Genomic DNA, 13,093 nt, shown 5'->3' with positions numbered 1-13,093 from the left:
CATGGGACTGGTGAGCAGTCAGGAAGTCCAGCTCAACCCTCTAGCAGGAGCCAAGCGTATACTCAGAATTCATCTCAGCAGGCATTCCAGGGGGTGTCTGAGCGCATCCCAAAGTGTGTACATTTGTCCACCTGTAGCTCCCACGGTGGGTCCACCACAGGCATTTCTGAGTCCTGACCACCCTGAGCTGCTGTTTTTTCACCATTTCTTTGTTCAGCTCACCTGTCATTATCCGTTCTCAAAACCAGATCCTGAGCTTCCAACCACTAAGACAGGAGCATAGCTCACACCTGTGATCCCAGTACTTTGGGAGGCTGAGGCAGGCAGATCACGAGATGAAGAACCAGCCTGGGCAACATAGCAAGACCCTGTCTTTACAAAAAATAATAAAATTAGCAGGAGGATCAGTCGAGCCCAGGAGTTCAAGGCTGCAGTGAGCTATGACCATGCCACTGTTCTCCAGCCTGGGTGGGTGACAGAGTGGTCTCTAAAAAAAAAGAGCACACAGTGACATGGGAGGGCCAGGTACACATAGCTTAGGAGTGGCTGTTAAAAGCCAGAAAAGAGCCTTACAGATGCAGGTTCGAGTCCCTGCTCCACCCCTTACTAACCCCATCATTAAAATGTTTACCAAGCACATATTATTAAATTGCGCCCCATTGTGAGCAGTGTGATGAAATCTCCAGCTGACTGGGGTGTGAATCCTCCCTTTGTCCAATGTACCCACGCTATTTTTCACTACCCCATAATCACGTAGTAGCCCTCCCAGTTATCAAATCAACCATCACAGTTTTGCAGTGCTTGTGTTCAAGAAATCCTTATCTGACTTAACTATAGCCCCAAAGAGCAAGATTCGTGATGCTGGCAATTCAGATATGCCAAAGAGAAGTTGTGAAGCGCTTCCTTTAAATGAAAAGATAAAAGTTCTCAATAAGAAAAGAAGAAAATCGCCGGGTACAGTGGCTCCAGCCTATAATCCCAGCACTTTGGGAGGCTGAGGTGGGTGGATCACCTGACATCAGGAGTTCAAGACCAGCCTTGCCAACATGGTGAAACCCCATCTCTACTGAAAAATGCAAAAATTAGGCTGGGCACGGTGGCTCACTCCTGTAATCCCAGCACTTTCTGGGGTGAAGGTGGGTGGATCACGAGGTCAGGAGTTCAAGACCAGCCTGGCCAAGACGGTGAAACCCCATCTCTACTAAAAATATAAAAAATTAGCCGGCCATGGTAGTGGGTGACTGTAATCCCAGTTACTCGGGAGGCTGAGGCAGAGAACTGCTTGAACGCAGGAGGCAGAGGTTGCAGTGAGCCGAAATTGTACCATTGCACTCCAGCCTGGGCGACAGAGTGAGACTCTGTCTCAAAAAAAAAAAAAAAAATTAGCCAGGCGTGGTGGTGCGCACCTGTAATCCCAGCTACTCGGGAGGCTGAGGCAGGAGAATTGCTTGAACCCAGGAGGCGGAGGTTGTAGTGAGCTGAGATCACGCCACTGCACTCCAGCCTGGGCAACAGAGCAAGACTGTCTCAAAAAAAAAAAAAAAAAGAAAGAAAATCTGCTGAGCACTCTAGGGAAAAAAGTAAAAGAGAATGAGATCATGTCCTTTGCAGCAACATGAATGGAGCCGGAGGCCGTCATCCTAAGCAAACTAATGCAGGAACAAAAAACCAAACACCACATGTTCTCACTCAGAACTGGGAGCTAAACATTGAGTGCACAGGGACGCAAAGAAGGATGCAAAGAACAATAGATATGGGCCTACTTGAAGGTGGAGAGTGAGAGCCGTAAAACTACCTATTGAGGCCTGGCTGGATGGCTCACGCCTGTAATCCCAGCACATTGGGAGGCCAAGGCGGGCGGATCACCTGAGGTCAGGAGTTCGAGACTAGCCTGGCCAACATGGTGAAGCCCCATCTCTACTAAAAATACAAAAATTAGCCGGGTGTGGTGGTGAGTGCCTGTAGTTCCAGCTACTCAGGAGGCTGAGGCAGGAGAATTGCTTGAACCCAGGAGGCAGAGGTTGCAGTGAGGCGAGATCATGCCACTGCACTCCAGCCTGGGTGACAGAGTGACACTCTTTCTCAAAAACCAAAACAAACTACCTATTGGGTATGGTACTTATTACCTGGGTGACAAAACACTCTGTATACCAAGCATGCAATTTATCTGTAGAACCGACCTGCACATGTACCCCTGAAACTAAATAAAAGTTGAATTTGTAAAAAAAAGAAAAGAAAAAAATTATATGCTGAGGTTGCTAAGACCTATGGTAAGAACAAATCTATCTGTGAAATTATGAACGTGATGTTGTTATCATTGTCCTTTTTGGTTACTCTTGTTGTTCATCTCTTATTGTGCCTAATTTATAAATGAAATTGTTTCACGGGTATGGGTGTATAGGAGCAAACATAGTATATATGGGCTCAGTACTATCCATGGTTTCAGGCCTCCTCTGGGGATCTTGGAATGTATCCCCCAAGGACAATGGGGGGGACTGCGGTTGTCTTTTGGTCTCCTGTCCCCCACTCAACTCTGCCACCCCCACTCCCATCCACCTCGTGTGTCTCATCCACTGTCCTGGATCCACCTGTGGCTTCCCTGATCCTTAGTCCTGGCCTCTGGGCCACCCTTCAGGTTTGCTCTTTCATCTGGATGTCCCACAAGTCCCACCACCTCACTGAGCCCCCAAACCATTCATTTTCTTAAGTTTTTAAAATATTTGTTTATTTATTTATTTATTTTCTACTGAGACAAAGTTTCACTGTGTCTCCCGGGTTGGAGTGCAGTAGCGCGATCATTGCTCACTGTAACCTTGAACTTCCAGGCTCAAGTGATCCTCCTGCCTCAGCCTCCAGAGTAGCTGGGACTGCAGGTGTACTCCACTGTACCTGGCTAATTTTTTAAAAATTTTTCTGTAGAGATGGAGTCTTTCCATCTTTCCCAGGCTGGTTTTGAACCCCTAGGCTCGAATAATCCTCCCATATCAGCCTCCCAAAGTGCTGGGATTACATCTGTGAGCCACCACACCTGGCCCAAACCATTTTTTGATCCATTCAGTAGATGTCTAATGGGCACTCACTGTGCCTGGCTCTTTTTGGATATTGCTGAGACACAGGAATAAAACAATATAGCCTGTGCCCTCTTGGAGCGCACCTTCTTCTGCACGACCATTCACGGATTCATTTGGCAAACAATTCTCATGCTGGGGAGTGGCACCCACAGTCAGGAAAGATGTCGTCTGTGTTCCTGAGGAGCTCAGAATAGGCAGAGGCTGTACTGCATGACAGCTAAGGGTATGGGCTTTGGAACCAGGCAGCCAGGTTCTGCCTCTAGCCAGCTGTGTGATCTTGGGTGAATCGCCTCCCTCCCTGAGTCTCAGTTTCCCTCTGTAAGATGGGGGAAGTAATGATACCTACTTTGTAGGGTGGTTGTGGGAATTAAAGGAGATTTTTTTTTTTTTGAGATGAGTCTGACTCTGTCACCCAGGCTAAAGTGCAATGGCATGACCTTGGCTCATTGCAACGTCTGCCTTCCAGGTTCAGGTGAACCTCAGCCTCCTAAGTAGCTGGGACTATAGGTGTGGCCACCATGCCTGGCTAATTTTTTTTTTTTTTTTCTGAGGTGAAGTCTTGCTCTGTCACCCAGGGTGGAGTGCTGTGGTGTGATCTCAGCTCACTGCAACCTCCGTCTCCCAGGTTCAAGCAATTCTGTAATCCCAAGTAGCTGGGCCACTGCACTCCAGCCTGGGTGACAGAGCAAGACTCCGTCTCAAAAAATAAAAAAAATAAATAGAATAGTCCACTTGCAGCTCGGAAGAGGGGGCCATGTATTCGTAGGCTCCTGTGCCCTATGAGTCTGTGTGCCTGTGGCTGCCAGTTCCCTCTCAGGACTGGGCTGGTGTGCTAGGAAGCACCAAGAGCATCCCATGTCGGATGTCAGTGAACCCATGGGTGGAATCAGAGAGAGACGTCTGCAGGTGGCCAAGGCAGCAGTGACAGAGACCACGCACACTCAACGCGAGAGAGAGAGGGAGGGAAGGAGAAAGATCCAGACAGGAAGAAACAGGGAGATGCAGGGAAATGACAGGAGAAGAGCCTGGGGTGGGAGGGAGAGAAAACAGAACTGCTGGATGTGCAGGGTCAGCCCTGCCACCCCTCCGGCCTGGGGTTCTGCCGCACAGGACCTTCTGCTCACAGTTCTCCCAGGGACGTTTGGAACCGGACCATTCTGGATACCAGGGGTGGGGTGTGGCTTCATTCTAAGCATGGATGCCTGAGGGCACTGGGGCTCTGTCTCCTCAGGGATCCTTGAAGAGAAAGGCCAAAGGGATACATTAGTAACTAAAGTCTGTCATTCACATAGTGTTCTTTCTTCCTGTTACACATTTCTATGAATTTTGAAATATTTATGATGTTATGTTTACCATTTTGATCTCAGGAGGAATACTCTCCCCGCTCCAAAACTTCCCTCTTCTTTACTTGTGAATCTCTGTCCTCTTTCTCCAGAAACCTTACCAACTATTGATATTTTTACCGTCCCCTTGGTTTTGCCTTTTCCAGAATGTCATGTAGTTGGAGTCATGTATTAGGTTGACGCAAAAGTAATTGCGGTTTTCCCATTCTTTAAATGCCAGAAACCGCAACTAGTTTTGCACCAACCCAGTATTATGTAGCTTTTTCAGATGAACTTACTTCACTAATTAACATAAAGTCACCCTGCTCTGCCGCCTTTCTGTGTGTCTCATCCAGTGAAGGCATGCCCTCACAGTCTTTCTGATATATGCCATTGTCTTTTCTATGCCTTGTTGGAGAACTCCTTTAAATCACAGAATAATACTGTGTTTTATGGATGATTTTTTTTTTCATTCACCTCTTGAACATCTTGCTTCTAGTTTGGGTGGTTATAGATAAAGCTGCTGTAAACATTCCTGTGCAGGCTTTGTGTGGACATAACTTTTCATTTCAGCTGAGTACATACCTAGGAGCACAATTTTTGGATTATATTGTGAAAATATGTTAGGATTCATAAGAATTTGGTGGATTTCATAAGAGAAATCATTTGGTTCTGGTGTTGTCTTTTTGGAATGTTCTTAATGTCAATTCACTTAATAGGCAGAGGCTGTTCAGATTGTCTGTTTCTAGTGTGACCTTGGGAAGATTATGTCTCTCAAGGAATTGAGAGACTGTGTTATCAAACTGTGGGAATAGAGTCATTCATAACAGTCCCTGATTATCCTTTTAATGCTCAACAGTTTGGTAGACGTGGCCCCTCTTTCATTTCTAATATGAGTAATGTGTGGTTTGTTTGTTTTTTTTTTTTTTTGCTTTGTTAGCCTGCAGAGGTTTATTAATTGTTAACAATTATAATTAATAATTATAATAATTAATTGGGGGGAATTATCGTTGTTAATGTAGATGAATGCACATCCAGGAAAATGTTACCTATACTGAGCAATGATGGCAACAACTTGTTTTTTCAGTTCTGGTTAGGACATAGGCATTTATCCAGCTCTCTGTCCAAATACACACACACACACGCACACACATACACACGCTCACGCATTTACTATGAATAAAATCTATCGTACTCCTATCATTTAGAAAATCACATAATCCGGCTGGGTGCAGTGGCTCATGCCTGTAATCCCGGCACTTTGGGAGGCTGAGGTGGGTGAATCATGAGGTCAAGGGTTCGAGACCAGCCTGGCCAACATGGTGAAATCCTGTCTCTACTAAAAATACAAAAAATTAGCTAGGCGTGGTGGCAGTTGCCTGTAATCCCAGCTACTCAGGAGGCTGAGGAAAGAAAGTCACATAATCCATTAGGTGATATTCCAATGTTTATTTAACTCATAACTTCTATAATACATTAATTTGAACTTACAGAAATAAAAAAGCATTTGGAAATTGATCCCAGAATACAGAATATTTCTATAGGAAACAAGATGTGAACCATAAGACTCAATGAGTTGGATGGTGGCAATAATTAATACTTAGGACTCAATTTATAAACTAATCAAATTAGATTAAGTATAATCATGAATTGTCCCATATTTTTCTCCTATGACTTTGTATAACGCTTTTACCGAGTAGAGCGTTCCTAAGTCTGCCCACCCAAGTAATTTTCTTAACCTGTTTTTTGTTTTTTTGCAGTGGGGGCTTATTTGGCCTCCCCAGGATGGACTGGAGCATCAGTAGTGCCCGGGTTTATCACAGGACAGATACTCAAGACACTCTTATCACCATTAGGTGGACTTGGAGGAGCAAAAAACAAGTGCAGTGGCTCCTCAGCAGAGACACTCCTGAATGTATAGACATGGGAACCACCTTCAGCATCAAAAAAGGAAACGTTCTGCATGCCCATATCCAGAAAAATCCCCACTCGCTGTAACTTGCGGTCTACGAAGAGGAAAGTCAGCGGCACCGTGCTGGCAGAGAGGCGGCTTCCATCCCTCAAACTCACAGTCCAGAATCCACGCTCTGTGGTCAGATGGATCCTCCCTTTGCGGTGAACAGATTCTCTGCAGACTCCCAGGTCCCATTCTGTGCTTGTTCCCACGTCCACCTCCCAGTAGTGGCGGCCACAGGTAAAGCGAGGGGAGCCCAGGATGCAAATGGACACGTCAAATCTCTCGGCAAGGTCTTGCCGATTCTGTGTGATGCACCCACTTCGGACGCTCCTGAGGTCGTCAGAAATGAGGAGGAAGTTGTTGGCTGTGTCGGCATCCAAGGTCATATCCACTGTGAAAAGGAAAAAAAGTTGATCAGAAAATGGACAGAAGCCAACCCCATGCCTCTCCTCTACTTCAAAGGCCCAAATATCTCTTGACTTTGGTTTCTTTAATTCTCTTCTTCCCCCAAAATCAAAACTTTTCATGAGGCAACTTCCCTGACTAGTTCAAATTCTCATAGGTATGCTTTGTGGCAATACCCAACTCTTATTCACAGTAGCAATTATTTTACTTTATGTCACGTGTTTGCTTCATTGGACTTTTCTTCATTTAGAGTGGAGGGTCTCTGAAGGCAGACACCATGACCCCCTTTCTACCACCTTGATGCATGAAAAAATGAATGATAATTAAGACAATGCAAATGGTCGATGTTAAATATGTTTCTGCTTCCATCTTGTATTGCTCAACTCAGTATATAGAGCATGATTCCAGGCCTTTGTTTTCCATGTTTGTAAGCAAATTAATTGTGCATGGTTCTGACAGCAGGTAGGGTATCTCTGCAGCTGACAATGTGATGACAGAGGTGCCGGTCCTGGACATTAGGAGGCTCCAAGGCCAGGAGGAAGAGGGGGGCCTTAGATGAAAGAATGTTTTCCATCCTACATGGGAGGTGAAACCTTAAGCAAAACAATGGTAAATTTTGGAGTGAAGAGAAAGGTATTTGAAAGTTGTTTGTTGGCTGAGCGCGGTGGCTCACACCTGTAATCCCAGCACTTTGGGAGGCCGAGACGGGTGGATCACGAGGTCAGGAGATCGAGACCATCCTGGCTAACACGTGAAACCCTGTCTCTACTAAAAAACATACAAAAAAATTAGCCGGACATGGTGGCGGGTGCCTGTAGTCCTAGCTACTCGGTAGACTGAGGCAGGAGAATGGCATGAACCCAGGAGGCGGAGCTTGCAATGAGCAGAGATCATGCCACTGCACCTCCAGCCTAGGCGGCAGAGCGAGACTCCATCTCAAAAAATAAAAAAAAAAAGAAAGTTGTTCGTCATAACTGACTGATCGTAGAGAATAAGGGCAGTAAATACAAAGGTCAATAATTTAATGCATTGGGTATGTGGTTGATAGGTGAAGCTGCCAATTCTCATGGAGGAGGCAGTGTGATCTGGCCTAAAGAAAATTAATTGTCCAGAGCATTCTGAAAAAAAAATCTACAGAACATATGATCCTTCAAGTCAAAAAACTGATGATCACCAATATAGATTTTATAGATTACAGTAAGACTTGAGGAGACTGATTGCTGTTTGATGGTGAATTAGGGAATGAAATGAGATGAGTGGACATGGACAAGGAAGGAGGAAGAGGGTTCCAAACATGACTTAGGCAGGGTGAATCTGTCCTCCATATTTCAGCAGAGACACAGTCAGGTATGGGTAGGTGGATGAGTAGAGATCATGGGTGTCAGGGCAGAAGCCACCACCATTTATAGGTGTAATTCTTTGCCCAGGCTGACCATAACCTCTTCATTTAAATGTCCCTATTCCCCAGAGTTATGGAGAGTGATAGTATTTTCTGTAGCCAGGACCCCTGTTGAAGTCCATGGCACACCGATGAGGAGACCAGCGTCTGCAACTCGCCCCACTCACAGAAACAAACACCATAGGTGCTCCATTCCAAACTCTTCCCAACCCTGGGGTGAGGTTGTTTGGTACAGTGGGTGCCAATACTCACTGTGCATTAGAATTACCAGGCCCATTTAAATGTCAGAGTCCTGGGAACCTTTGCTAGAGAGAAATTCAAATTAAGTTGCTCTGTGTTTTTGCTACTCAGCAAAGTCCCCAAGCCAGCGGGATCAATCCTGAGACTTCCCAGTTCAGCATCTGCATTTTAACAAGATCCCCAGGTAATCTGAGCACACTAAGTTTAGAGAATCCCTTGTCTAACCCATGACATAGACATCAGGTTTTTTTTTTTGAGACGGAGTCTCACTCTGTCACCCAGGCTGGAGTGCAGTGGTGCAATCTTGGCTCACTGCAAGCTCCGCCCCCCCCAGGTTAACGCCATTCTCCTGCCTCAACCCCCAAGTAGCTGGGACTACAGGCACCCACCACCAAGCCTGGCTAATTTTTTGTATTTTTAGTAGAGACAGGGTTTCACCGTGTTATCCAGGATGGTCCCGATCTCCTGACCTCGTGATCCACCCGCCTCGGCCTCCCAAAGTGCTGACATTACAGGCATGAGCCACCATGCCCAGCCAGCCTTTTTTTTGGAGATCACCAGGTGATTCTGTATGTTGTCAGGGCTGAGAATCTGATGATGAAGAAGCATCTCAATTTTAGGTGCCAGACAGCAGCTAATCCCCATATGGAATGAGGGGCCAGTTGCACAGATGATTTTTCCTGGTCTGGTCGTAGGAAGGGGGCAGTGTATACAGATCCCTCACCTTGGAACTTCCGCATCCTTGGGTTCATCTGCAGAATCTTCTTCAGCTTGGGCTCCAGTTCCTTGATGTGGGAAGCCAGCCTCTCTAGCTGCCAACTGGGCCTGATTTTGTTCTTCTGAGAGACCATGGAACAGCAACAGCAAAGTAGATCCTCCCCATGGGGCTCCTTCTGCAGTGAATTGATGCACTTGAAGCAGACAGCGCATCCACACTCCAGGGACATTGGTTTCTCTAGATAGTCTGAGCAGACGGGACAGCTGCTTGCTTCTTGGAAGAGTGCAGCCATGTCCACTGCCAGGGGAAAAGTGCACAAGGGAAGAAAATTTCCGTGAGGTGAAAGCCTGTTAGTTGTGACAAGTGACAACCTTTTCATGCATAAAGGTATTGTGTCCCAGCTTTGTCACTTCTAGAACAAGACCATGAGTACAAACACTCAAGCACATCCCCCCACCCCCCGTCTTCAGAGATTTGAAGTTCTATTGGGAAAGAAAGTCACGAATCATCACTGTGCTCTGAACTGAGGTGGAGGAAGGGTCCATTCTACTGGTGACCCAGCAACTGAGCCTGAGCCAGTGACACGGCAGCACCCATGTGAGGAACAGCGAGCTGGGGTCATTTCACCTCCTCCTAGGGGAACCCCAGCAAGAGATTGATTGATGAACATAAGAATTAGGGGCTGGGAGGCCGGGCGTGGTGGCTCAGGCCTATAATCCCAGCACTTTGGGAGGCTGACGTGAGTGGATCATCTGAGGTCGTCAAAAGTTCGAGACCAGCCTGATGGGTGAAACCCCATCTCTACTGAAAATACAAAAGAATTAGCCAGGCGTGGTGGCACACGCCTGTAATCCCAGATACTTGGGAGGCTGAGGCAGGAGAATTGCTTGAACCTGGGAGGCAAAGGTTGCAGTGAGCCAAGATCCAGCCATTGCACTCCGGCCTGGACAACAGAGTGAGACACCATCTCAAAAAAAAAAAAAAAAAAAAAGAGAGGGACTGGATGCAGTAGCTCACATCTGTAATCCCAGCACTTTGCGAGGCCAAGGCTGGAAGATCCCTTGAGCCAAGGAGTTTGAGATCAGCCTGGGCAACACAGGAAGACCCCCTCTCTACAAATAATAGAAAAATTAGCAGTGAGCAGAGATCACACCAGGTCACTCCAACCTGGACAACAGAGTTAAGACCCTGTCTCACCAAAAAAAAAAAAAAAAAAATCACATCCTTCTCCAGCCTTGGAAATGAATACCAAATTGACTGCCACCACTCCTAGACTGGAGATCTGGGGATCCAGGGTGACTGGTTTTCAACTCTGAGGCAGCACTCAGACAGCCTTTGTTGAATTCATTAATTACGAATTTCTCTCATTCATCCCCCAAGGCATAACCCCCATTTCTAGGCATCTAAGGAGGAAAAACACACACACAGGCATGGGCTCACCTCTTCTGCTGGAAGCTCCTCTGTCCTCCAGCTGCTTCCACTGGGCGCTCAGGTCTTGTGCGGAAGGGGCACATGAGGGCGTTTTATTGGTGAGATTCCCACCTCCCACTGGGTCATGCCCTTCCACACCCTCTAACCTAATGAGGCTTTGATTTAATTATAACAGGGAATTAGGTTTTTACTGGTGATATATCTCCAGTTAATTGTAACTTTAGTAAATCCTTCATCCTGACAGTGTATTTTTCTTTCATATGAAGATAAGATTAAATTGCCTTTATATTAAATTAGGCTTAATGTACTAACTTCAAAAGCTTATTTTAGAGATGTTTCCATCAGTTGTCAGTAAAGATAATTCCTGTAATATGTTGTAGGCTTCAAGCTTTGCTTGGAAACCTGAAGTATTAAGTATGATTGGATTTGCAATTTTACAAAATGGTTTAAATTCATATACATCAGACTCAAAGGTAATAGGGGCATGCATTCCATTGAGGAAATTCTAGGGAATTTTTATTTATTTTCATTGGTTTATTTCTGGTTTTGAAAAAATTTCATAATTCATAGGAAAAAATTGGATAATTACTATTTTGACAAATGACCATTAAGCTTCTTGGACCTTGAGTACTTCACACAGTGTTAAGATAAAAGTCACAATTTAAAAAAAAAAGATGATTTTCTTGTGAAACTTGTGTTCTCAAATAAAAATTGTTACCCGTGAAGTGAGTTGTGCTTTCTTCCATTTGAATCAACCCCGAATCTTTTCATTTTCATGCCTTTCTGTGTAGTGGGATCTTTACTGCTTTGTTTTCAAATTTCAAATAATTTGAATATAATCTTATCATTTTCCCTATTCCCTTTGGCACATATTAAAGGAATTTTCTCTTTTTGCATAATTAAAAATAAAGACCTAATTTTGGTCGGCTTTAAATATGATTCCTCATGGGATTAGAGGACTCTGAGACACTCAGGTCTTGTTTTGGTTTACTTTTTTTTCCTCTTTACTTTCAGTTGACATGTAATAATTGTACATATTTATGGCACACAGTAATATTTTGATACATGCATAAAGTGTGTAATAATCAAGTCAGGATAATTAGCACACTCTAAACATTTCTTTCTTTTTTTTTTTTTTTTGAGACAGATTCTTGCTCTGTCAGCCAGGCTGGAGTGCAGTGGCACAAACTTGGATCACTGCAACATCCGGCTCCTGGGCTCAAGCAATTCTCCTGCCTCAGCCTCCTGAGCAGCTGGGATTACAGGCATGTGCCACCATGCCTGGCTAATTTTTTTTTTTTTTGTATTTTTAGTAGAGACAGCATTTCACCATTCTGGCCAGGCTAGTCTCTAACTCCTGACCTCAGGTAACCCGCCTGCCTCGGCCTCCCAAAGTGCTGGGATTACAGGCGTGAGCCACCGCCTGTATTTATTATTTCTTTGTGATGGGAGCCTTCCTAATCCTCTTAGCTTTTTGAAAATATGCAATCATGTACAAGTGACCATATTTACCCCACAGTTGTGCTAGAGCCCATTTCTCCCATCTAGCTGTAATTTTATATCCAATTACCGACCTCTCCCCAAGCTCCCCTCCCCCTTACCCTTCCCAGCCTCCACTAAAGCCCATTTCTCCCATCTAGGTATAATTCTGTATCCAATAACCAACCTCTCCCCAAGCTCCCCTGCCCCTTACCCTCCCAGCCTCTATACCCACAATTCTATGCTCTGCTTCTGTGAGCTCAGCATTTTTCATTTAGCTCCCATATAGGAGTGAGAACATGTGGTATTTATCTTTCCAGACCTGATTTATTTTGCTTAACATAATGTCCTCCAGGCTGAGACTCAGGTCTTGACCAGAAAACTGATGAATCTGCATGTATCATGGAAATGGACAAGTTAGTGATTAACTTGTACTTAATTCATAAAATAACAGCTTTGTTTTCAAATTTCAAATAACTTGAATATAATCTATTTCCCGCTCCTAAAATGTATCACATATTAAATAAAGATTTTTTTCTTTGTATATATATTTTTGAAAGACCTACATTTAGTTCTATTAAAAAATTATGTACAATGGGATGAGATCACTCCTTGGGATTCAGTGTCTGAGCAAGAAAACAAAGCTTGGGAGACAGTGTGTAGGGAGCCAAGTTAACTTTACATGATTGGAATGAATTGGATCCGGTCATAAAGCAATCATTTGGGGTTTGCTCTCTGCTGGATTCTGGGTCACTCCACAACCACATGTAAAGACAGAGTCCAGCCCTGGTGTATCCTGTATGTGAGAAAAACTTTCTGCCAAAACCAGGCTGGATACAACGTAAAGAGTGTGAGAATGACTTAGGAAATGAGTCAAATTCACAAGATGATCCTTTCAGATGCTCCAGGGAAGAAGGAACAGACAACAAGATAGATTTGCAGAAGAGATGTGATGTCAATGAGACAGCAGCACGGTGCAGGGTGAGGCAGCCAGGGCACAGAGAGCCAGCAAAAGCCACTCGGACAGGTGTGGGAGGGACACGGAGCCACGGCCCATAAAACCCAAAGGAC

General features: G+C 44.9%; 1 protein-coding gene and 1 long non-coding RNA gene across 3 annotated transcripts in view; one reads left to right on the top strand and one right to left on the bottom strand.

Annotated features, from left to right (window-relative positions):
• Positions 1-5,827: 5,827 nt before the first annotated feature.
• RFPL1 (ret finger protein like 1) overlaps positions 5,828-13,093 on the bottom strand; it is a 54,547-nt gene continuing 47,281 nt past the window's right edge. Inside the window, exons 9-10 of one of the 2 annotated variants that reach the window (NM_001393612.1) lie at positions 9,119-9,409; positions 5,828-6,741 (exon numbers count right to left, since the gene is read on the bottom strand). In NM_001393612.1, coding sequence (NP_001380541.1) covers positions 6,161-6,741; positions 9,119-9,404 — 867 coding nt within the window. In that variant the 5' untranslated portion in view covers positions 9,405-9,409 and the 3' untranslated portion in view covers positions 5,828-6,160. Of the gene's footprint in view, positions 6,742-9,118; positions 9,701-13,093 lie in introns of those variants that run through there. The other variant, NM_021026.2, reaches the window with a different exon arrangement.
• On the top strand, positions 6,154-11,268 carry RFPL1S (RFPL1 antisense RNA 1). Its single transcript, NR_002727.2, has one exon. It is a non-coding gene; the product is annotated as an RFPL1 antisense RNA 1 (long non-coding RNA).

This window comes from Homo sapiens, chromosome 22, assembly GCF_000001405.40.
Source record: "Homo sapiens chromosome 22, GRCh38.p14 Primary Assembly".
Classification (NCBI taxonomy): domain Eukaryota; kingdom Metazoa; phylum Chordata; class Mammalia; order Primates; family Hominidae; genus Homo; species Homo sapiens.
The sequence above is the reverse complement of the archived record's forward strand: the minus strand, read 5'-3'. Positions and strand labels throughout refer to the sequence as shown.